Source organism: Homo sapiens, chromosome 5, assembly GCF_000001405.40.
Source record: "Homo sapiens chromosome 5, GRCh38.p14 Primary Assembly".
Lineage (NCBI taxonomy): Eukaryota > Metazoa > Chordata > Mammalia > Primates > Hominidae > Homo > Homo sapiens.
This window is the reverse complement of record NC_000005.10, coordinates 132,472,692-132,495,541: the sequence shown is the minus strand read 5'-3', so window position 1 is coordinate 132,495,541 and position 22,850 is coordinate 132,472,692. Positions and strand designations below refer to the sequence as shown.

The window sequence follows — 22,850 nt, the reverse complement described above, 5'->3', positions numbered from 1 at the left end:
GTGTTGAATGAATTAAGGGACTTTCTTTCTCTCCAGTTAGGCTCCTTGCAGGCAGGGTGATGACCCTTGGATTCTGCCTTCAAGCTTTTGGATGCTTTTATTTCTGGCTTGTGTTCTGCAATTCACAGTTTAGGACTGCCTGCCTCCCAGGTTTCTGTGAAAATCGAGATGAAGGCTTTGAGCATTTCAGAGAGCCCTACTACTTCTGGACCTGGAACCTGGAAGGCATGCTGGGGAGTTTGTCTGCTTTGGGGACCGTGGCCCCCTCTCTGGGTAGCAGGCTCCACAGGTAGCAGGTCTCCCAGTCGAAAACCTAGTTCAGGTCGGGCGCCGTGGCTCATGCCTATAATCTCAGCACTTTGGGAGGCCGAGGCGGTGGATCACCTGAGGTCAGGAGTTGGAGAACAGCCTGGCCAATGTGGTGAAACTCCATCTCCACCAAAAATACAAAAATTAGCTGGGCATGGTGGCGGGTGCCTGTAATCCCAGCTACTTGGGAGGCTGAGGCAGGAGAATTGCTGAACCCCTGGAGGTAGAGGTTGCAGTGAGCCAAGATCACGTCACTGCACTCCAGCCTGGGTGACAGAGCGAGACTCCGTCTCAAAAAAACAAAACAAAAAAACACCTAGTTTAAACCTCACTGGCACCTGCACCTCAGCTCTCACAAACTCTCATTTCTGAGCACACACTCATCTCTATCAGCAGAGGATTTAACCACAGGTTGCCAAGAAATGTCTGTATCTGAGAGAATTCATAATCTGAGATAGAAGGAACACTAAACTCCAGAGGAAGAGGGGTCACACATCAACTTAACTAGGATTTACTGAGTGCCTACCATGGTAGCCACTCTTCGGGGGAGTGCAAGGATGGCGGCATCACCTTAGTGTGGTCCGTGTGGCCCTGTGCATTGATGTGTGTGTGCATGGTGACATGTTGGGAGCCATGCTTCTGGGCTTCAGGACTAACTGCAGCCCACTTAGGGGGTGAACAGTGTTTTGAGAGCCTGAGGGAGGGGACTGGGGACAAGAATTGTCTGTCAGGGTAGAGGCTCCCACAGGGTGTGTGAATGTGTGTGTGAGATGATCTTGCCTTCAGCATCCTGATTGCAGAAGTCACTTCAAAGGAGCCCCTGCCAGCCAGTTAGCCTCCTCTTGCCAGCACAGAAAAATCCAGGTCCCAATACAGAGAGGCCACACAATGAATTCACCCTCATTGAGTGAGGCTATGGATGAGAGGCATCTGTAAGGAAGACCTTGCACAGTGCAGGGTGCTGGCTACCCTCAGCTAACCCCTAGCTCGCTTCAGCTGCTGGGCATGAGGAACCTGCTTAGATTTCTCACAGAAAACATGGAGAGTTCTTTTTCTCACAGAAAAAATGTAGAGTTTGTTCCCCAGAGTTTGTTCCCACCATGTAGAAAGTGACCAGTGGTGAAAAGGAAACATAGGAAAGTTAAGGACCAAAGGGTCCAAGGAGGGAAAAGAAAGGACTTCTGGTTGGTTGCTTTGCGGGCATTTTGAAGAGATCAGGCATATGCTCTGGGCCTTAAAAAAAGACACAGAGATTGAAGTGGTGGGGTGGGCAAGGGAGAGAGAGATGGAGAGAGGGTGAGTGTTGCCAAGTATCCTGAGGAGACAGGGATGAGGGGACAAACACAGTGTGTTCAGATAATGGAAATACAGTGAAAGGTTCATGCGTTCCTGTTCATACATTTCATTTGACTTATGTCTTACAGTTTGGAAATAATTTTGATAGTCTAATTTTACAATTAGGAGAGATGGAGAGAGATTATCTCTATTTTACAGATGAGAAAACTGAGCCCCAGAGAGGGACAGTAACTTGCTAAGATCACATAGCAAGTGGAAAAAGCACAATAAGAACCCAGGCTTTCAGACTCAAATCCTGTGTTCTCTTTTCATCCCCCTTTAGTTTCATCTTCCCTACTGCCAAGGGTAGGGAAGCTGTCAGGGACAGAAGGTTGGAATGGGACCCCAGGACAAGACTGAGCAGAGATTTGAATGTGGGGCTGAATGTAGGGGAGCTCAGAAGGCTCCTGGGTGGCCCCGAGTGTTAGGGAGATCATCCGAGTTAGGGAGATCATTCCAGTGCAGAGGCACCATCTTCCCCATCTACCTGGGCAAGGCAAGGAGGCCCAAGGGGAGGTTGGGGCAACAATAGTCTGGTCCTGGACTATGAAATCACAACCCGATACAGGGAAGGAAGACCCAGAAGACCAGGTGGGAAAGAAAAGGGCTGGCTCCGAATTAATAAGAGCCTACAGGAGCCTATGTGTTCTGCTGGGGATCACAGAATGTTCTACATCTTAGAATGTGATTCATCAAAAGCCATTACAATAAAAATGTTGGGTACTTAAACATGGCTTAGCTTTATTTCACTGATTTGGAGTATAGCACCCCTAGTCATAATAAGCATATTCTTACAGGCTTCAAAATAAAGTAAGAATCCCTAAGGTTAAAAAAAAAAAAAAGGTCAAAGATGTAAATGTAAATGACAGTTTCATTGGTAAATCCTAACTGGGGAATTTCTCCTAAGCAAAAAATTATTGATATGCACAAAGATTTAGCTAATAGTGTTGTTTGTATTACGAAAAAATGGAAATAACCTAACTGTCCTACAATAGGGGATTAATTGGGTAAATTTTTATTTATCCTTGTGAAAGAATAATGTATACCTATTACAAATGACATTGCATAAGTACATTTCATGACATGGAAAGATGCTCATTATGGCTAAATATACATATGCATATACGGGTATATTTATACCTGTATCTGTGAATTAAAATTAAGTTTTTGTTTTAAAGCATTTTTTATAGTGTCCTGTTGCCTTCACAGGGTCACTGTGGTCAACTTATCAGACCACAAAGATGCAAACTTCCTTTCCCTAATCTCATCCTGAATTTTCCAGTGGATGTGTCAGGTTCTCAGGGGAAGGACAAGCATCTATTTGCTGTACCAAGAAAGGATCCCACGACTCAGGGGTCACTTGTTTTCTCTTATTCTTGCTCAGAAGGTCTTGGTCCCTGTAGCAAGTCCCCACTTCCATTTGTCACTTAAAGTACCCCAAAACCCACCTTTCCATTCCAGAGTGTCATTGCCCTCCACTTTGCTTAACACTCAGTTAGGTTCCTTCCTCAGTTTCTCCTACCTCCTTTCCTCTCCTAGCTCCTGACCCACCTCTATCTGGTAGACAGTTTTGCCCATTCCTGCTGGTATCCTGGGAACCAGGTTTGGCATTGGTCACAGCACTCAGATTGCAATGCGCCAGAATGGGATTAACCCATGCATTTCCTCTACGGGAGGGAGGTAGAGTGACTGGCAAGTCGAATGTTGCATGGGTGTGTCTATTTATAGCCTGCAAAATGGGGTGCTGCCCTGGAGGGAGAGCTGGGGTGAAGGAAATGACACGCCTGGGAGAGTAACTTACTTCTGCAGGAGCTTTAGGGAGATGAAGGAAGAAGCCTCCTGGGCCAGAGTTTTGGATGGAAAATGAACACCCAGTCAAGTCTCTAGGACTATACGTGGGGCGGGGACTAGTTGTGCGCGAGAGTTAAGTAGGGGCCTTACCAAGGAGCATGGGACCTGGGCTCCCCAACCCTTTGGCTAGCCCCATGGCGTTGATCAGCCCTGAGCTAATTCCTCCATGCTGCCCAGAACCTCTCTGGGCCAAGCCCTGGGGACTCAGAGATGACAGCAATGCTTCCATTGCGGAACTCCCATACGCGGGCCACAGGGAGGCTCTGGAGGCGGCCTGAGGCAAGAGTGCTAGGAGGGATCAGAGCTAGCCCACCCCTACCCTCACTCAGCCGTCTGGGCTTCTCTGAACCCCTTCTCCTCCTCTGTTCCCTAAAGCCAGCCAGGGGGAGTCCCAGGGAGGCAGACCGAAAAGGGGTGGGGTGTCATCCTGGTCACTATTAGACCCTGCAACGGCGACCTTGAAAACTACTCAGCGTCTGTTGCCCGAGTGGAGCATAGTGCTTTACAATCTCTTCCCATCACAGCAAACCATCAAGGTAGGGCTACTATTATTTTATGGTTGAAAAACAGAGGTCCTGCGTCCCTTGGGGGCTGTGCCAGCAGCGGCCAAGTTGGGATTTCCCCTGGTCCAGCAGCCCCAGACAGCACACGGGGCAGGGTAGGCTTTCTGCCTTCTTCACTTCCCCAGGGCAGGTGAGTGACCTGGAGGGAGGGGGTCACCCCTAAAAACAGGGGTAGTGCTAGGACTGAAACCCTCCCTTCTTGATATCCCACTGGCAAGCTTGAGGAGCCAGGCTGCCAGTCGGGAGATTCGGCCCAGTGTTCCCACTGGAGAGGGCGGCAAGTGCCCGGGCGATCCCCTCACCTGCGTTCGGGAGATATACCCCCGCCCCCGCCCCGCCAGGAGGGTGAAAAGATGGCCCCAGGAGCCAGCCGGCTGGGACAAGGCGGAGTGAGAGGACAGGCTGGGGCCAGGGGCGCTGGGCTGTCCCGGGCAGCCCTCCTCCGGGCAAGCCGGAGCAGGGGTGGATTGGGAGCGCTCGGGGCGGGCCCGCGGTGGCCCCGGGGCGGTGGCGCCCGGCCGGAGAGGGTGGGGCGGAGCAGCCGCCCTGTACTTCCCCTTCGCCGCTAGCTCTACAACAGCCTGATTTCCCCGAAATGACGGCACGCAGCCGGCCAATGGGCGCCCGCGCGGCTGTCCGGGGGCGGGGCCGGCCAGGGCTGGGGAATCCCGCTAAGTGTTTGGATTGCTCGGTGGCGCCGCTGCCCTGGCAGAGCTCGCCACTCCTTAGTCGAGGCAAGACGTGCGCCCGAGCCCCGCCGAACCGAGGCCACCCGGAGCCGTGCCCAGTCCACGCCGGCCGTGCCCGGCGGCCTTAAGAACCCGGCAACCTCTGCCTTCTTCCCTCTTCCACTCGGAGTCGCGCTCCGCGCGCCCTCACTGCAGCCCCTGCGTCGCCGGGACCCTCGCGCGCGACCGCCGAATCGCTCCTGCAGCAGAGGTGAGTACGCCTTTGAGGCGCGGGGCACCGGCGGCGTCGAATAAAAGGCGCGCGGGGCACCAGGAAGTGGGGGGTCGAAAGCTCCAGGCTGGAGACTCGCCGGCGCGCGGCGTTGCCCGGGCCTCCGCGCGGGCTCCGGGGGGCGCCGGAGGAGCTGCGAGCCGCGGGCCGCGGCGCGGGGAGGGCGGGACGCGGCGTGGACCGCCCACCCGGACGAGGCTGCCGGCGCCCGGCAGCTTTCGCAGATCTGCGTGCGCGCAGCCGCCAGGGGCCTGTAGGTGGCCCGCTATGTTCGTCCCGCGCATCCACACGCCGTGCCGGGGACCGAGTGTCAGCCCACGCGTGGGCGCCCAGTGCTCCCGGCTTTCGGCGGTCCCAGCTCCGCGCCCAGGCGACAGGTTTTGGGCTCCCTGTGCTGGTGGCAAGGGCTGGCTTACTGCCCAGGTGGCTGGAGGGAATCGTGACCTACGGAGACTGCGGGAAGAGGCGCCACAGGTGTTCCTTGGGCCACTTCTCCAGAGGAGGGGAAACCGGGCCGGAAGGGTTAGCGTCCTGGTCTTAGCGTTGTGGGCGCTGTGGCTGTCAGGAAGGCGTAGAATGGATTCAGGGGGGCGGGAGGGGGCTGTTCAGGGTGACGGCTAGCCCTTTGCTAGCTAGTGGTTACAACTCAAGTCAAGGGAATTTCTTCTTGGCATCAAGCAAAAGAAGTCCCTCCCTTCCCAAAGGATTTGAATTTTGAGCGAAAAGTTCTGAAATTAGGGTATCTGTGCATTTTGTCTCTTTTCCTGCATATGAATCCTGAAGCCATCACTTGCATGCCTGTCTCCTCCAGAGACTGGCTGGGAGGGGCTGAAGGAAGGGGCAAAAGCATTTTTGCCTAAGATGCTGAAAAAATTTGGAGAGCAGTTTTATTCCAGCGCAGCTCCCCTCCGCACTGAGTGTAGTACCTAGCAGCTGGCTGAGGTGAGGGGAGGGTAACTAAGTGACCTCGGGTGGGGCAGGTCACTGCCCAGGTACTGTTCAACAGATTCCAGACTGGAGCCTCTGTGTTCTCTTTACAGCCAACATGCCCATCACTCGGATGCGCATGAGACCCTGGCTAGAGATGCAGATTAATTCCAACCAAATCCCGGGGCTCATCTGGATTAATAAAGTGAGTGTAACTCTTTGGGTTTTCCTGCCACTGTTTTAACCCATGTACTTCTGGAGGGACCAAAGCTTCAGATGCAGCTCAAAAAGGGAAGTGATAACGGGACAAGCAGGTGTTTCTCCCAGTGGGTCCTGCATGCAGGGAGTGTGCACGGCCCAGCCTGGGCCTCACTTGCATGACTCCTGCCTTCTTCCCTTCTTGAGGTAGGGCACCCACCTGAAGGCACTTCCAGTTTCCAGCAGCAAGACTTTCCAGCATCTGCAGAGCTGGAGTTCTGCTCTCCTCTAAGCGAGACCCTTACAAACATACACAGCACTCTGCAGGGCTCCAATCGAACAAATAGAAGACTGAGAAGTGGATGCTGCTGGGCAGAAACGTGCCTGGCTTAGCAGAGGACAAACGAGTTAATCTTGCACCAGTCACTCTGGCCCAAGAAGCCTATAGCTGGTGCACTTGGGGCAACATAGACCCTATAGACTTAGTAGCAATGATAGTATTCATAATAATAGCTAATGCTTACTGAACACTCCCTGTGTGCCTGGCACCTGCTAAGTATGTTATTTACATTGTGTCATTTAATCCTCGCAGTAGTCCTGTGGGTTAGATCTTACTAATGTCATCATTTTCAGATAAGTAAACAGAGGCACTGAGAGGTAGATCATAAGATCACACAAAAAGTGATGAAGCCAAGATTTGAACTTGAACGGTCTGACTCAGAAATCTTTACTGTTAACCATAAGTGATATAATAACAGTAAGACCTTAGACTTCATATTTGTCACTGTGTCCCTACACATCCTCTGGTTTTTAATCCTCAAAATTTTGTTGGATATGTTTTCTCATTTCCGAGAAGAGAAAACTGAGGGGCAAAGAGATACAGTGACAATGCCAGGGTTACACAGTGTTCACCATCCAAGTCTAGCCCAGAGCTCCCTCAGTGGTATGACCAGGACCCCCTGTGTAAGAGCCCATGCTCCCAGGTGTCCTGAGGAGTCCTTTCTAATGGAAGAAGTTCTTACTTCCATGTGGGTGCTTACAAGCCAGAGAGAAACATCCCAGAGCTTCAAAACCAGGGCTTTGGGGGAGGGTGCCCTGTGTGGGTCCTAGCACATGTGTAACAGGCAGAGGGAGGTCTTTGTGAGCTAATAATGCTGCAGCTCATCCAAACTAGGTGTCCCTCCTGAGAGATCCAGAGTGGTCTGTTTAAGCCAGCCTCAAGATGGGTGTCCAAGCCAGATGTCAGGGGAAAAAAGGGGAAGTCAGCCTTTTCTCAGACCTGTCTGGCTGGGCAGGCCTGGGTCTCAGACTCAGCCCCAAAGTCTGTGGTCTCTGACCTGACACAGCCTTATGTGTATGTGTGTATTGTTCAGGAGGAGATGATCTTCCAGATCCCATGGAAGCATGCTGCCAAGCATGGCTGGGACATCAACAAGGATGCCTGTTTGTTCCGGAGCTGGGCCATTCACACAGGTGTGTGCCTGGGACTCAGGCCTAGGAAGCCCAGGGTAGAGACAAGAGGAGGCACTCACGTTAACACAGAGGCTCTTCACTGGGGTCCCTGAGCTCCCTGAGACAACATGCAGAATTACTGGGAAGAGGGGCTGGTGGCAGACTTGTGTTTCTGGAGAAGAGAGTCGATCATCTCAGCAAATTCTCAAAGGGAAAAGCCAAGATCTTAGAAAGTGTGTGGCTTCAGGGGGTTTGTGGCTAGATGAAAGTTCTCCCTGGCAAAAGCATCTGTGAAAAGCAGCTGTAAGCCAGGGCACTGAAAGAGACCCAGGTCTGCCTTTTTCTTCGTGTTGACCAAGGCCCTTGGTCCAAGCCTCATGTGGTTGGTGGCCTCCTTTATCCTTGAGAGATGGAGCTCTAGGCCCATCTCAGAACAGTCAGCCCACCCATTTAGTAACTGTTCTCTGCTGCCCAGTCTGTGCCCACTCTACCCTCTGGCTGCTGATAGCCCAAGGAGGAAGACTGGGCATAGTCTGAGACACAGATAGTACACTTTGGGGATATGGGGACTCTAGTGCTTCTGGCTGGGCCCTTCACTGAGGCCCGCTAGATGTGTTTAAGCCAAGCCTGGGCATTTGAGAAGGCCCAGGGCCTAGGACCTGCAGAGTGTCACCGGGAGTACCTGCTGGTTTGACCACTGTGGCTCTCTGGTAGCATAAGAGGTCAGGGGTACCTTGCCTTCCTCCTTCAGGCCAGGGGCAGCTGAGGATCCCTACCCATGGCCCTGACGATCCTCTTTTTTCTCCTGCCCTCTAGGCCGATACAAAGCAGGGGAAAAGGAGCCAGATCCCAAGACGTGGAAGGCCAACTTTCGCTGTGCCATGAACTCCCTGCCAGATATCGAGGAGGTGAAAGACCAGAGCAGGAACAAGGGCAGCTCAGCTGTGCGAGTGTACCGGATGCTTCCACCTCTCACCAAGAACCAGAGAAAAGGTATCCAAGGACTCTGGGTCCTTGGGAAGCCCTCAGGGAGGGAGGGTAGAAGGAGGTCAGCTGGGGCTGGAGAGCCTGCACCAAGGCTGACAGCCCGTCTGCCCCACAGAAAGAAAGTCGAAGTCCAGCCGAGATGCTAAGAGCAAGGCCAAGAGGAAGGTGAGTGTGGTCCTAAGCAGCCAGGCCTTTGGTCACCTGTGGGCCAGGGTGAGCAGTGGAAGAAATGCTAAGGTGGGCCTGGGCCTAAGCTGCTTTCTCCCTCGACAGTCATGTGGGGATTCCAGCCCTGATACCTTCTCTGATGGACTCAGCAGCTCCACTCTGCCTGATGACCACAGCAGCTACACAGTTCCAGGCTACATGCAGGACTTGGAGGTGGAGCAGGCCCTGACTCCAGGTGAGCTGGTCCAGGTCTGGCAGGAGACCCCACAGGTCAGTGGGATGACTCTTTCTCTTGGAGGCATGGTGCTGGCACATGGTGGCCCATTAGTGCAGGCTGCAGGGTTGGTCGGAGGGCGCTCGATGTCTTGCAAACTAAGAAAGCACACAACCTTGACCTGTGGCTTCTGCTGTTCCCCAGCACTGTCGCCATGTGCTGTCAGCAGCACTCTCCCCGACTGGCACATCCCAGTGGAAGTTGTGCCGGACAGCACCAGTGATCTGTACAACTTCCAGGTGTCACCCATGCCCTCCACCTCTGAAGGTTGGTGCTCCTGGGGCCTGGCCTGCCTGCTTGACTGTCTGGGTCCTGTGAAGGGCTTCCTGAGAGAGAAAAGATGATCAGAACTCCACCTGGCACTGAATTGATTGAGTTGGGCATTGCCCAGTCTTAGCCACCATAGGGGGAGGCAAGCGACGGGGACACTAGGAAGGCAGTTCAGAGTGGGCTGCAGTACAGTGGGGGCTGGTGAGAGGAGGGAAGGGGGCCAGGGGCTGCATTTTGGGGTGCTGGTTCTCCTTCCTCCTCTGTAGCCCAGCATCTGAGGGTGAGGAAGGAAGTAGGGTAGGGGTGGGAAGCGGCGTGGCTTCAGGGTTTGAGAGGCTGAGTCACCAGGCCAGGGTCCTGTTCTGGAATCTCTATGGCAGATAGGTCCACCGGGAGGGTGTGTGTGTGTGTGTGTGTGTCAGAGAGACAGAGAGACAGAGAAAGGGCAGGGGGATCTGGTGGGCTGGAACTGGAACTGCAGGGTGAGTGTGGCTGACTGCCAGCCAACCTCTCTGCTTTCCCCATCCACAGCTACAACAGATGAGGATGAGGAAGGGAAATTACCTGAGGACATCATGAAGGTAAAGCCCCTTCCTACCTGGGCACTCTTGAAGTGACCGTTTCTCAGTGAGGAGAGAGAACCAGTGAAGCTTCCAAATCAGAGGATGGGTAGCTGCTGTTGTCACCTGGCTGCTTGCATTGTCCCACAAGTGCCACATTCACGTGGCTTGACTGGTGGGAAAGCCACCATGGGAAGGGAAGGCAGGTGGGAGGCCTGGCCTCTGACAGGCCGTCCTGAAGCAAGCCTTGGGGCATCAGACAGCTCTGTGAGTCAGGCACTATCAGCGATGGGTCCCTGGCCTGCATCCTCTGCCCCAACATGCCCCAGCCCTGCTAGTTCGGGAAATGCACATCAGGCTTCAATAATCAGCCTTTAGGATCCGTTAATATGATGATGGCTTTATAGAAAAAGTTAGCAAATTATCCTCCAGGTTTTTTTTTCTGCTTCAGTTTTGAAAGTGAATATAGTTTTTGCAGCCGGGGGCAGTGGCTCATGCCTGTAATCCCAGCACTTTGGAAGGCGAAGGTGGGTGGATCACCTGAGGTCAGGAGTTTGAGACCAGCCTGACTAACATGGTGAAACCCATCTCTACCAAAAATATAAAAATTAGCTGGGCCTGGTGGCGCATGCCTGTAATCCCAGCTACTCTGAAGGCTGAGGCAGGAGAATCGCTTGAACCTGAGAGGCGGAGGTTGCAGTGAGCTGAGATTGTGTCATTGCACTCCAGCCTGGGCAACAAGAGCAAAACTCCATTTCAAAAAAAAGTTTTTGCAGTAGTTGTACGCCAGCTGTTCCATTAGCCCAAAAAATTGAGACATGGATGTCGTTCCTTATCTCTAGCTTTTCTAGTCATCTTTTCTTGATTTATTATGCTAACCTTTGTTTTAAGCCACATTCCCTCTTACTATGTCCTTACACAGTTGAGAGGGAAGTCGTGGAGATGCTATACCAGAGAGTGGGTGTGAGAGGGGTGGGAAAATGAATTGAGGACCAGTGCCAACATGCATTTCTGCCTCCTCCCTCCCGGGCCCTTGTCCTGACTGCAGTGCACTTCTGCATCCTATCTGAGATTGTGAAAATGGCCAAGGGTGTGATACTGGCTGAGAGGAGCTGGCTCATTGAGGGCAGGGCCACAGGGTGAGTCTGCACTGGAAGGGAGTTGATAGCCTCTTGCTCTTCTGTCCCCAGCTCTTGGAGCAGTCGGAGTGGCAGCCAACAAACGTGGATGGGAAGGGGTACCTACTCAATGAACCTGGAGTCCAGCCCACCTCTGTCTATGGAGACTTTAGCTGTAAGGAGGAGCCAGAAATTGACAGCCCAGGGGGTAAGAAGGCCCTGGATCCTTATGGCTTCTTAGATGAGGGAGAACCACGTAGGGATGGAGAAAGCTTGGGGGCAGGGCCAGGGAGCAGGGCGGTAAAGCATCTGGGGTACTGACACATTGTGAATTAGCTACGGCTGCCATGCCTTAAGGTTTGCCTGAAGCTGAGTGGATGTTTACTGCTGTGCTGGGAAGAGCAGAGGCCATGTCTATGGCCTTCAGGGGTAGGGGGAAGCACACCTGATGCCACCGTCCCCTACCCTCATACAACCTTCTTCACATCTTCTAGGGGATATTGGGCTGAGTCTACAGCGTGTCTTCACAGATCTGAAGAACATGGATGCCACCTGGCTGGACAGCCTGCTGACCCCAGTCCGGTTGCCCTCCATCCAGGCCATTCCCTGTGCACCGTAGCAGGGCCCCTGGGCCCCTCTTATTCCTCTAGGCAAGCAGGACCTGGCATCATGGTGGATATGGTGCAGAGAAGCTGGACTTCTGTGGGCCCCTCAACAGCCAAGTGTGACCCCACTGCCAAGTGGGGATGGGGCCTCCCTCCTTGGGTCATTGACCTCTCAGGGCCTGGCAGGCCAGTGTCTGGGTTTTTCTTGTGGTGTAAAGCTGGCCCTGCCTCCTGGGAAGATGAGGTTCTGAGACCAGTGTATCAGGTCAGGGACTTGGACAGGAGTCAGTGTCTGGCTTTTTCCTCTGAGCCCAGCTGCCTGGAGAGGGTCTCGCTGTCACTGGCTGGCTCCTAGGGGAACAGACCAGTGACCCCAGAAAAGCATAACACCAATCCCAGGGCTGGCTCTGCACTAAGAGAAAATTGCACTAAATGAATCTCGTTCCCAAAGAACTACCCCCTTTTCAGCTGAGCCCTGGGGACTGTTCCAAAGCCAGTGAAATGTGAAGGAAAGTGGGGTCCTTCGGGGCGATGCTCCCTCAGCCTCAGAGGAGCTCTACCCTGCTCCCTGCTTTGGCTGAGGGGCTTGGGAAAAAAACTTGGCACTTTTTCGTGTGGATCTTGCCACATTTCTGATCAGAGGTGTACACTAACATTTCCCCCGAGCTCTTGGCCTTTGCATTTATTTATACAGTGCCTTGCTCGGCGCCCACCACCCCCTCAAGCCCCAGCAGCCCTCAACAGGCCCAGGGAGGGAAGTGTGAGCGCCTTGGTATGACTTAAAATTGGAAATGTCATCTAACCATTAAGTCATGTGTGAACACATAAGGACGTGTGTAAATATGTACATTTGTCTTTTTATAAAAAGTAAATTGTTTATAAGGGGTGTGGCCTTTTTAGAGAGAAATTTAACTTGTAGATGATTTTACTTTTTATGGAAACACTGATGGACTTATTATTGGCATCCCGCCTGAACTTGACTTTGGGGTGAACAGGGACATGCATCTATTATAAAATCCTTTCGGCCAGGCGCGGTGGCTCACACCTGTAATCCCAGCACTTTGGGAGGCCGAGATGGGTGGATCACCTGAGGTCAGGAGTTCGAGACCAGCCTGGTGAAACTCCATTTCTACTAAAAATGCAAAAATTAGCTGGGCGTGGTTGCGGGTGCTTGTAATCCCAGCTACTCAGGAGGCTGAGGCAAGAGAATCGCTTGAACCTGGGAGGTGGAGGTTGCAGTGAGCCGAGAACATGCCATTGCACTCCAGCCCGGGCACCAAAAAAAAAAAAAAAAAAAAAAACCTTTCATTTGGCCGGGCATGGTGGCTTATGCCTGTAATCCTGGCACTTTGGGAGGCCAAGGTGGGCAGATCACCTGAGGTCAGGAGTTTGAGACCAGCCTGGCCAACATGGTGAAACCTCATCTCTACTAAAAATACAAAAATTAGGCCGGGCACGGTGGCTCACGCCTGTAATCCCAGCACTTTGGGAGGCAGAGGCGGGCGGATCACGAGGTCAGGAGATCAAGACCATCCTGGCTAACACGGTGAAACCCCGTCTCTACTAAAAATATAAAAAATTAGCCGGGCCTAGTGGCGGGTGCCTGTAGTCCCAGCTACTCGGGAGGCTGAGGCAGGAGAATGGCATGAACCCCGGAGGCAGAGCTTGCAGTGAGCCGAGATTGCACCACTGCACTACAGCCTGGGCGACAGAGCGAGACTCCGTCTCAAAAAAAAAAAAAAAAATTAGCCGGGCCTGGTGGCGGGCGCCTGTAATCCCAGCTACTGTGGAGGCTGAAGCACAAGAATCACTTGAACCCGGGAGATGGAGGTTGCAGTGAGCTGAGACTGTGCCACTGCACTCCAGCCTGGGTGACAAGAGTGAGACTTTGTCTCAAAAAAAAAAAAATCCTTTTGTTTATGTTCACATAGACAATGGCAGAAGGAGGGGACATTCCTGTCATAGGAACATGCTTATATAAACATAGTCACCTGTCCTTGACTATCACCAGGGCTGTCAGTTGATTCTGGGCTCCTGGGGCCCAAGGAGTGTTAAGTTTTGAGGCATGTGCCATAGGTGATGTGTCCTGCTAACACACAGATGCTGCTCCAAAAAGTCAGTTGATATGACACAGTCACAGACAGAACAGTCAGCAGCCCAAGAAAGGTCCTCACGGCTGCTGTGCTGGGTAGCACTTGCCATCCAGTTTCTAGAGTGATGAAATGCTCTGTCTGTACCGTTCAATACAGTAGGCACTGGCACTAGCCACATGTGCCAGCTAAGCACTTGAAATGTGGCCAGTGCAATAAGGAATTGAACTTTTAATTGCATTTAATAAACTGTATGTAAATAGTCACATGTGGTCAGTGGTTACCATATTGAACAGTGCAGGTAGATACTGGACTGGGGGCAGATCTGAGGGAGAGGGGTTTGAGTAGTGGGAGGACACTGGGGATAGGGGCTTGGGGCTATTTACCTGCCATTTTGAGTAGTTTGCTATTTTAGCAGCCAACAATAACTATTGGTGCTGAATACCAGCCCTGCAGTGTAGCATGAGACAGGTCCATGCACACATGCATTAGGAAAACACCTTCATGAAGCAGGATTCTGCCTGGGCTGATGCACACAACCTCTATGGAGGGTAAACAGTGTTTCTGAAGACCGTAGTTTGGGAACCCCTGACATATGACAATGCCCCCTTAGATAAGCTCAAGTTACAGGAATGTCTGAGGGTGGAAGGTGTGGATATGTGCTTTTCCTGTCTCCCTCTTCAGTGTCTGGCCATGGGGCATAAACACTACCCAGCAGTAGGTAGGCTGGCCAAGAGAAGCCAGCTTGCATCACCAGCATCATCTAGGGAATGGAATCATGGCAGTAATACGTTGCTTAGGAAACAAAAGCTCTATGGACACATCTTCCACCTTCTCAGTCCCAGAAACCATATGTACTGTGACCCCGCTCACTAGGCCCAGCCCTCGGGAAGAGTGTGGGCCCTTGAAAAGGGAAGACTGAGTGAGAAAATGATGAGAAAACTACAAAATGGGCAGAGGTCAGTCTGACACATTCATTCTCTGTCAAGCTCAGGAAGTACTGGTCCCTGATCTTGGAGATGCTGTGTGAGTGGCAGGGGGACTCCTGCTGGGTAAATATTCTATATGTGGATGCCTGGACAGGCCCCTATCCCAGGCCCTGCTTGTCAGAAGCTCCCCTTGGGCCGAGCGCGGTGGCTCACACTTGTAATCTTGGCACTTTGGGAGGCCGAGGCAGGTGGATTGCCTGAGTTCAGGAGTTCAAAACCAGGCTGGGCAACATGGTGAAACCCTGTCTCTACTAAAAAAAAACTAACCAGGCGTGGTGGTGCATGCCTGTAATTCCAGCTACTAGGGAGGCTGAGGCAGGCCAATCACTTGAACCCAGGAGGTGGAGGTTGCAGTGAGCTGAGATCACGCCACTGCACTCTAGCCTGGGCAACAGAGCGAGACTCTGTCTCAAAAAAAAAAAAAAAAAAGAAGTTCTACTTGGAAGCTCCACTTGGATTTCTCAAGAATAGCTTCACCTGGGAACAGAGGAATAGACAGGATGGACTTTTCCAGCTCCTTCAGGGACCAGCCCTTTTTAAGATTTGGATTGAGGTGGCTAGCCACCTGTGGCTTCCATCTGGGTTCTCCTAGTGGGTGATGGCAGGTGGTGCAGAGCAAGGTAGAGTGGACTGACGGGAGGAAAGTGATACCACCCAGAACAAGCAGCAGCTCTGACTTCTTTTTCTCCTGCCCTTCAATCTAATCCCTGATGGAGGGTAGGCAGTGAGTATGTGAAGTCTTAGGCAGCTGTGGAAATCTCTCAAGTTCTAAAAGCAAAGTTAATTGCTTGTAAATTACCAAAAAGAGAGAGGAATTATGTCCATCAGCTTCCAATCTCCACAACCAAGATGTAGTCCTCAATTTCCCCATCCCCTCTGATCCCAGGAGTCCTAAATGATTGGTAGCAATTGCTTGGAATCTCCAGGGAGGGACCTCAAAACTCTCCCCTGGCCCCCATCACAATGGAGCTGGGTCCTAGGGACCAAGCCTGGAGTAGTGTGGGATAGAGCCAGACCTTTCAGGATGGAGAGCTGTCCCATCACATCCTACCAAGACTTCAGCCTTTTCCTAGGAAAAGAAACTAAATAAGGTCTGACAGCTCACCTAAAGGTGATGGCAGCTGACACTACCGAGTCATTAGCCAAACAGTGCCTGAAACGGAGCAGTATTAGTAAGATCTGAACCAAGTTTGTGCTTAATAATTAGATCATTCTAAGGACCTGACAGTGCTTCTGTGGGTCATTCTCAAGAGTTTCAGTATAAGCACTAATGGTGGAAGTTCTAGGTTGAGGGAGCTAGGAGGTTGTTGAAAGATCTGTTTTGCTGGGGTTGTGATGAGATAACTGTCATCAAGGACCACTTTCCACTGGGGTAAACTGACAAAAGTGGTGCTCAGCCACACCAGCTAGATTTCTCATGTTGGGCCAAGTTTACAGACATTTGCGGGCATTTGTGGTTAGTCATGGGTTTCCTTGCCTTAACTCCAAAAGGGTATAGCTGGCTGGTCACTTTCATTGGGCTGGTTTATTCATTCAGCTCACTTGGCAATAGGAAGAAAGCTAGAAGCTAATAGGCAAACCATCCCTTCTTGGTGTGTCAGCTTTCAACATCTCTCAGTGCACTGTGTGCAGGGTGTTGTGACCATTACAACTCCAAAGGAAAGAGCTTTCTCTGATTTTTCTGGAAGTCTCCAGTGGGGCCTGCCAAAGTGGGAACTGAAATCCTGGGGTAGCCCTGGGAAGTGGAGTTTTTTTCTCTAGGAGTGATGTCTCCTGGTTGGTGGGGCTGGGAAACAGCCAGGTTGTCATTCTCTGGGACCACTTGATCTTTCACACTGTGTACAGATCCAAAACTCTGCCCTTATACTTGGAGGGGAAAGGGGGTACAGATGTCCTCCAGGCAGTCCTGTTGGAGCACCCAGGGCTAATATAGTGACCCTATAGAAAGCTTTTGTCTCTGTCAGATGTAATGCTGTTCCTTAACTTGGGCACAACTGATCTTCCAATTCATCAGAACTCAGCACTAACCTTTCCCCAGTTCTGCTGGCTGTCACAGAGGAAGGAGGCCTGGGGTGGGAGAAGGGGAAGCTGGTGCCCTCCTTTTCCAGGGGTGAAAGTACTTGGCAGGGTGGAGCTTGGCTTTATCATCCGGAGCTCCCTTGTGGGGCCAAGTCTAAGGCCTCAGAAGGGTATAGCTGGCTGGCCGCATAGTTTTCCTAGCTCCAGGCAGCTCTCAAGAGACCCATTTATGCTGGTTTTCTCAGGGTAAGGAGTTACAGAAGTCCACCTCTGCTGGCTCAGTGGTAAGACACAAGCCTGCAGAGTCTGCTGAGTGAAACTTCAGCTGGGGAGATACTGGAGGCTATGGAGCAAGGACATGGGGACTGAATGAAAGAGGGGAGGCAGACGTCCAGCCCACCATTCCTCACCCAAGGAGATGATCCCACAAGCTCACAAATGAGCAGAACTGGAAAAGACCTCAAAGTGTGGCTGGATAATGGCAACACAGGCCTCGAGTGCTCACTTTGTGCTGGGTGCTATGCCAAGCACCACGTGTGTACCACGGCACTGGCACCCCACCACGGCCCTTGTTCACAGACCAGGAAACCAACTCTCACCACCTAATCAGTATGGAGCCTTGGTTCCAACCCACATCATCTATCTGTGCCCAGAATCCAGGTTGGTTCCATATCAGGCTGCCTGAGAGAAGAACACGGAGGCCTGCACAAGAAGCTGGGGAGAGCTAGCAAGGGGCAGGGCCCGAGCACCTTATGCCAAGCAAGCACTTGTGGATGCTGAGGGAAGGCGGCAAAAGCTGCAGCTGCTGTGCTGCCCTGCCTTCAGCTCTCCTCCCTTCCCCCAGCACACACACCTTCCAACACCCCTGGCAACATGGCTCTGCCGCTACAGGCCCCAGGGCCCCAACAGGGTAGGGTTTGCCCCACCTATGCCCTGGAGGCCACCTGCAGTTTCGAAGGGTGGGGCCCCAGGGGGCCGAGACACAGACAGGCTTGTAACTTGGCCTCAGTGCAGGGGGCAGCTTGGCCACACCAGGCCTGTTTGGAGCAAACGGGGGACTCTGGCCTGCTAGGCCTTATCTCAGCTCCCAGGATCAAAGAGGACTTTTTAGCCATGTTTCTGTCTCAGCAAGACAACCTAGTCTCCTGTTCTGCTTTAAACCAGACCCTCTGTTGGGTCCTGGAGTTCCTCAGAGGTCTGGACCCTGGATGGCTGTGAGACTCAGGACCATGCACAGATGCATTCTCATTCCCAGCCACCAGGCTCGGGTCAGACCCTATGGCTCTGGTGGGCCTAATTCCTGGTTTCTTGATCCCTGAGAACACCTGGCACCTCTGGCTGCTGGCCAGTTGCCACCTTACATCAGGCGGGCGCTGGGATTCACCTGCAGGCTTCCTTTAGGGAAGGCCCTCCCCTGCCCTCCTGTGCCAGCCCAGAGGGGCAGCCTGGGTGAGGTCTTCACATCCATTTCGGGCCAAATGCCTTGGATTGGCTGGATCCCCTCCTGTTTCTGCCCTCCTTCTTTCCTTCAAAGCAACAAGGTTGTGGGGGTGTCCAGTTCTGCTACCACCTCTCCCTCACACTGTCAATCTGGAATTTGTCCAGAATTGGGGCCCAAGTAGTGAGTTCTTACACAGTGGTTAAACAAACAAACAAACAAAAACCCCACACAACTCAGCTACACCTTGGCTCAGAGAGGCCATGGGATATACCGAGGATCTCAGATCAGGAGGGAGGCCCCTGGAGAGGTGTGGCGGGGATCATGTGCTTCTCTGGTTTCTTGGAGAAAGCTGACTTTGTGTAACAAGGGAGGCATATGGACATGGAGTTGGTGTTTGGGGATGTGGGAACCATTAGGCCAGAATTACAAGAAGTCCTGTCATGTCGGCCACACTAGGGCAACAGTGGACTGGGGCAGGGGCTGATGACCTGATTGTGGAGGCAGTGGAGGGCTGTTTCTGCTGGGGACCCAGGGCTCCCCTCCAAGTGCTCCTGCTTGGCTTGTTGGGATGGGGAGAGGAGCTGGAGTTGGGATGGGGAGAGGAGCTGGAGTTGGGATGGGTCACAGCGAAGGCTACAGCCTGGCATTCCCATATGGGGTAGGGGTGGGGTGGGGTGGGACAGGGAGGAGGACCTGAAGGGGTGTCCAACTTTCCGAGACTTGGAACAGCCTGGTGAGTGTTCATCACCATTCTTCTGTCATAGGTGGCGAGCAGCCAGAGTTCTGGGCACAGGAGACCATCTACCCCCAAGCTTGTGCGGCCTGCCTCAGGTCACTGAAGAGGACCCCATTTTTGGTCTTTGGCCATCCTAAGACTTGTACAATGGAGCCCTGGGGCCCTCCCTTCTCTGACCAGTGACAGCCCTCACAGGCAAAGCCTCACCCTCTAGGGCCTGTCCCTTCCTGTCTGCCAGTCCCCACAGGGTCTGCGGGGTACCCAATCTCGCCAACCAGACTGGAAGCTCCCCAGGGGCAAGCAGCTTATCTCTTCCATATTCTCACAGTGTTCAGCCAGGATTGGCACTTCAGAGCATCTCCTGCTGCTCAGCAGAGATGTAGTTAGCATCTCTCTATAGTAGCACTTTCTGAGTCCCTCCCCTGGGGGAACCAGGCTAGACTCTGGGGTCCAGAGGAGCAGGCAGGCTGAGAGGCAAAAAGGGCACAGAGGAATAACCAACCCTGCCCCTGCAGTAGAGCCCTGGGCAAAACAGGCCATGACCAACCAGCAGCCAAGGTCAAAGTCCCCAGAACAAGGGCCAGTGTGTGCATGACATGCAGCATGACCGCTTGTCTCTTTTCGGCAGTACTGGAGATAGAAGGCTGAGTCATTAACAACTTTCTTTTATTAAAAATGTACATAAGTAAAAGGAACATGGTTTAATTGTGCAAAGAGTAAGAAATACAGATGAGCAAATAACACGTATTAAAGCCACCTACGATATACCACCCAGAAGTAACCAGGCTGTTGAATTTTTAGAGACTGGGGTGCAAACACATTTTTTCACTCCCTTGTGCATATATCTGGGAGCTCTGCCATATACAGACACAGACGCGGTGTCCACAGGCGATGCCTCTGCTGGGAATGCTGCAAGCAGGAGTCTATCCTTTCCTGGTACTGGCTCGGGGGCCCTCCTCAGCGCCCAGGTCACTCTAGCATCCAGGAGTCCAAAGGCCCGGCTGTGCAGGCTGCAGAGGTGATCTAGAGTAGATTAGGAGGTGCAAAAGGCTTGGAGATAGGCTGACCAACTGTTCCAGTTTGCTTAGGACTGAGGAGTTTCCCAGGATTTGGGACTTTCAGTGCTAAAACTGGGAAAGTCCCAGGCAAACCAGGGCCAGTTGGTCACCCTCCCTGAGGGCCAAAGGCTTTGTCCTGCCCCTCCTGCCCTGTGCTCCCCATCTGCCCTCCTGCTGGGGTTCTGGATCCCCCATCCCCACACCAAGCAGCCCAGGGACAGAGGCCTGGCTGGGGCCTTGCCTCCCGTGGAAGCTCCTGAAAGTTCCAGCCTGAGGCCTAGGGAGGGACAGGGGAAAGGGAATAAATTAAGGCAGACAGTCTGTCATCACCCAAGAAAAGGGCCAGGTGAACTGTGGCTGTTAAGGGCAGCTAGGGATGTACAAGCAGAAGGGTTCCAATACTTGGCTGGCCACCCCTCCAGCCCTGGAGCTGAGTGTGTGGTCCCCAGAGGCCCCAGAGCCAGAGAAGTGCAGGGTGTCTGGATTGAAAGGCCTCAGCTCCCTGGGCTCCCAGAGCCCTGGTGCCTCAGGCCTTACCTTCCCCCTCCTCCATCTCCACACCCCCTGGCACTTCCTGCTCAGCTCTTCTCTACCTAAGACTGGGAGCAGAGGATGAAGGAAGAGGAATCCAGGACAGACCGAGCTGAAAGAGGAGCAGGCAGGTGGGAGGGGACTTAGGTAGAAAGGACCTCTCTGATAGTGGCGGGAACATCCTGACTGTGGTCTGGCCCAGCCGGCTGTCTATGCCTGAGGATGCCTGAGGATGGGGGGCCCTTGGAAAACTCAGAAGAGAGGCTAGGTGTGGAAGGCAGAGTATTGGTCCACAGTGGAATAAAGAGGTCCACGTCCTAATGCATGAGCCTATGAATATGTTGCTACATGGCAAAGAGGAATTAAAACTGCAGATGGAATTAAGGTTGCTAACCAGCTCACTTGCAAATAGAGAGATTACCCTGGATTATTGGTGTGGGCCCAGTGTAATCACAAGGGTTCTTAAATGAAGAAGGAGGAGGCAGAAGGGTCAGAACCAGAGAGATCGCATTGTGAAAAACCTGACCAGCCAGTGCTGGCTTTGAAAGTGGAGGAAGGGGTTGCAGGCCAAGGAATGCAGGCAGCCTCTAAAAGCTGGAAAGGGAAAGGAAGGAAAGGGATTCTCCACTAGAGCCCCCAGGAAGAAATGCAGCTCTGTTGACACCTTGAGTTTAGCCCAGTGAGACCTGTTTTGGACTTCTGACTACAGAACTATAAGAAAAGAAACGGGCCAGGTGCAGTGGCTTACACCTGTAATCCTAGCACTTTGGGAGGCTGAGGCAGGCAGATTGCTTGTGCCCAGGAGTTTGAGACCAGCCAGGGCAACATAGTGAGACCCTGTCTCTATAAAGTATACAAAAAATTAGCCAGGTGTGGTAGCACGTGCCTTTAGTCCTGGCTACTTGGGAGGCTGAGGTAGGAGGATGGCCTGAGCCCAGGAGGGAGAGGTTGCAGTGAGTCAAGATTGAGCCACTGCACTCCAGCCTGAGTGACAGAGCAAGACCCTGTATCCAAAAAAATAAATAAATAAATAAAAAATTGTGTTGTTTTAAGCCCCTGTTTATGATAATTTGTTAGAGCAGCAATAGGAAACTGATCCACTGGGAAACCATTTGGGGGATGCAGCTGCCCAAAATCCCTGCACGTGGGTTGGACTCAGCCTCACAAGGCTCTACAGCCTCTCTGTGAAAGACTCCATTCCCTCTGGGAGAAGCTCAGACTCTAAAGCCCTGGGCAGGGAATGGGCCTCCATGGCATGGAGGGGGTCAAGAAGGATGCCCCCCAGGATAGTGCCTCTGCTGGACCTCTCTATAGGAAGCAGCTGCCTCTTTGAGCCCCCTCCCCAAACCTCAGTGAGCTGAGGTGCTGGCTCTGAGTGGTCATGGAGGGGCTTGCCTGAGGTCAGGCCACCTAGGACAGCTAGTCAGAGGCCACAGGGCTTGGCTTAAGATTCCCAGGAAGGAGTTGCATGGCCCCTCCACACATCCACAATACTCATAACACTCTCAGTCCTTGGCCTTACTAAGGGAATACTAAGGGGACTCAGTTTAGCTCTGGAAAAGCTAGGACTACTGGAAAAAAAAGTATAGAGGAAAAAAAATAGTTACTGGATGCCAGCCAGATCTGCAAAAAGTCCCCACTCTGCCACTTACTAGCTATGTGGCCTCAAATAAGCCACTAGATCTTTTGTAGCCTCAGTTTCTTCATCTGTAAAATGGGTATAACATCATTTGTCTTATCTGTCTCACAGGGTGTGTGAGTCTCAGGTGAGATAACACACGAGAAAACATTGTGCCGCACAACTTGAGATGCAAACAGTAACGATCACAACCCCACATGCCTTTTGATAGGGTGAATGATCACAGCATCCTGTGTTAGGGAGGAAAGGGTGAGCACAGACGCTTCAAAACTCTGTCTTACCCACAGGCAGAAGGGTGTAGCCTGGCCAGGGGAGAAAAGGACCCAGCCACTGCCACCGCCCCGCAGCTCACACCGGATGTGCGACAGAGCCACCATGCAGCCCCACAGGATGTCCTCCAACCACTACAGACTGTGGGGCTTTGCTTTTTTTTTTTTTTTTTTTTTTTTAAGAAAAAGGTTTTCTAGTTTCTTCTACATTAAAAATAATCCCTCCTTCTCATAAAGCACAATTTTACAGAGGAAAAGGGAGATGTGAAACTATACACAATTCAAATCTAATTAATATATAATTTTTTTGTGGAATACAGATGGAGGGAATACATCACAATACTAAAGGTGATTATCTTTGGATGGTGGGATTACAGGTGATTATATATTTTTTATATTTCTATAGTTTAAAAATATTCCATGATGACCTATAATTACTTTTACTTATTTTTTGAGACAAAATCTCACCCTGTTGACCAAGGCTGGAGCGCAGTGGTGCAA

At 52.3% G+C, this 22,850-nt stretch overlaps 1 protein-coding gene and 1 long non-coding RNA gene across 9 annotated transcripts in view, besides 14 other annotated features; one reads left to right on the top strand and one right to left on the bottom strand.

Annotated features, from left to right (window-relative positions):
- Positions 715-794: an enhancer, noted in NCBI's record as "active region_23084". NCBI's record gives its function as "activates an Ori minimal core promoter by ATAC-STARR-seq in GM12878 lymphoblastoid cells {active_cell/tissue: GM12878}" and the evidence as "EXISTENCE:reporter gene assay evidence [ECO:0000049][PMID:35858748]".
- Positions 3,309-3,954: an enhancer, noted in NCBI's record as "H3K27ac-H3K4me1 hESC enhancer chr5:131827280-131827925 (GRCh37/hg19 assembly coordinates)". NCBI's record gives its function as "activates a minimal SCP1, AML or CMV promoter by ChIP-STARR-seq in primed H9 embryonic stem cells {active_cell/tissue: H9 hESC(primed)}" and the evidence as "EXISTENCE:reporter gene assay evidence [ECO:0000049][PMID:30033119]".
- Positions 3,518-3,567: an enhancer, noted in NCBI's record as "active region_23083". NCBI's record gives its function as "activates an Ori minimal core promoter by ATAC-STARR-seq in GM12878 lymphoblastoid cells {active_cell/tissue: GM12878}" and the evidence as "EXISTENCE:reporter gene assay evidence [ECO:0000049][PMID:35858748]".
- Positions 3,608-3,817: an enhancer, noted in NCBI's record as "active region_23082". NCBI's record gives its function as "activates an Ori minimal core promoter by ATAC-STARR-seq in GM12878 lymphoblastoid cells {active_cell/tissue: GM12878}" and the evidence as "EXISTENCE:reporter gene assay evidence [ECO:0000049][PMID:35858748]".
- Positions 4,088-4,227: an enhancer, noted in NCBI's record as "active region_23081". NCBI's record gives its function as "activates an Ori minimal core promoter by ATAC-STARR-seq in GM12878 lymphoblastoid cells {active_cell/tissue: GM12878}" and the evidence as "EXISTENCE:reporter gene assay evidence [ECO:0000049][PMID:35858748]".
- Positions 4,368-4,817: a silencer, noted in NCBI's record as "silent region_16326". NCBI's record gives its function as "represses an Ori minimal core promoter by ATAC-STARR-seq in GM12878 lymphoblastoid cells {active_cell/tissue: GM12878}" and the evidence as "EXISTENCE:reporter gene assay evidence [ECO:0000049][PMID:35858748]".
- On the top strand, positions 4,769-13,933 carry IRF1 (interferon regulatory factor 1). Of its 8 annotated transcripts, NM_002198.3 has the most exons (10): positions 4,769-4,997; positions 6,059-6,150; positions 7,517-7,616; positions 8,412-8,588; positions 8,698-8,747; positions 8,856-8,985; positions 9,169-9,291; positions 9,826-9,875; positions 11,045-11,180; positions 11,467-13,933. In NM_002198.3, the coding sequence occupies exons 2-10, from the start codon at positions 6,064-6,066 to the stop codon at positions 11,589-11,591; spliced, it is 978 nt and encodes a 325-aa protein (NP_002189.1). In that variant the 5' UTR covers positions 4,769-4,997; positions 6,059-6,063; the 3' UTR covers positions 11,592-13,933. The 8 variants fall into 8 exon arrangements, 6 of the variants coding, with proteins under 6 accessions (NP_002189.1, XP_047273109.1, NP_001341853.1 ...); XM_047417153.1 differs by lacking the exon at positions 6,059-6,150; NM_001354924.1 differs by lacking the exon at positions 9,169-9,291.
- Positions 5,078-5,357: a silencer, noted in NCBI's record as "silent region_16325". NCBI's record gives its function as "represses an Ori minimal core promoter by ATAC-STARR-seq in GM12878 lymphoblastoid cells {active_cell/tissue: GM12878}" and the evidence as "EXISTENCE:reporter gene assay evidence [ECO:0000049][PMID:35858748]".
- Positions 5,078-5,896: a biological region, named in NCBI's record as "H3K27ac-H3K4me1 hESC enhancer GRCh37_chr5:131825338-131825985".
- Positions 5,249-5,896: an enhancer, noted in NCBI's record as "H3K27ac-H3K4me1 hESC enhancer chr5:131825338-131825985 (GRCh37/hg19 assembly coordinates)". NCBI's record gives its function as "activates a minimal SCP1, AML or CMV promoter by ChIP-STARR-seq in primed H9 embryonic stem cells {active_cell/tissue: H9 hESC(primed)}" and the evidence as "EXISTENCE:reporter gene assay evidence [ECO:0000049][PMID:30033119]".
- Positions 5,888-5,937: a silencer, noted in NCBI's record as "silent region_16324". NCBI's record gives its function as "represses an Ori minimal core promoter by ATAC-STARR-seq in GM12878 lymphoblastoid cells {active_cell/tissue: GM12878}" and the evidence as "EXISTENCE:reporter gene assay evidence [ECO:0000049][PMID:35858748]".
- Positions 8,346-9,545: an enhancer, noted in NCBI's record as "CDK7 strongly-dependent group 2 enhancer chr5:131821689-131822888 (GRCh37/hg19 assembly coordinates)". NCBI's record gives its function as "activates an origin of replication core promoter dependent on BRD2, BRD4, P300/CBP, MED14 and CDK7 cofactors, with strong dependence on CDK7, by STARR-seq in HCT116 cells {active_cell/tissue: HCT116}" and the evidence as "EXISTENCE:reporter gene assay evidence [ECO:0000049][PMID:35650434]".
- Positions 15,961-16,210: an enhancer, noted in NCBI's record as "active region_23080". NCBI's record gives its function as "activates an Ori minimal core promoter by ATAC-STARR-seq in GM12878 lymphoblastoid cells {active_cell/tissue: GM12878}" and the evidence as "EXISTENCE:reporter gene assay evidence [ECO:0000049][PMID:35858748]".
- Positions 16,221-16,270: an enhancer, noted in NCBI's record as "active region_23079". NCBI's record gives its function as "activates an Ori minimal core promoter by ATAC-STARR-seq in GM12878 lymphoblastoid cells {active_cell/tissue: GM12878}" and the evidence as "EXISTENCE:reporter gene assay evidence [ECO:0000049][PMID:35858748]".
- CARINH (colitis associated IRF1 antisense regulator of intestinal homeostasis) overlaps positions 19,498-22,850 on the bottom strand; it is a 65,116-nt gene continuing 61,763 nt past the window's right edge. Inside the window, exon 4 of the long non-coding RNA NR_161242.1 lies at positions 19,498-19,875. This is a non-coding gene — a long non-coding RNA (colitis associated IRF1 antisense regulator of intestinal homeostasis). The remainder of the gene's footprint in view (positions 19,876-22,850) is intronic.
- Positions 22,231-22,310: a silencer, noted in NCBI's record as "silent region_16323". NCBI's record gives its function as "represses an Ori minimal core promoter by ATAC-STARR-seq in GM12878 lymphoblastoid cells {active_cell/tissue: GM12878}" and the evidence as "EXISTENCE:reporter gene assay evidence [ECO:0000049][PMID:35858748]".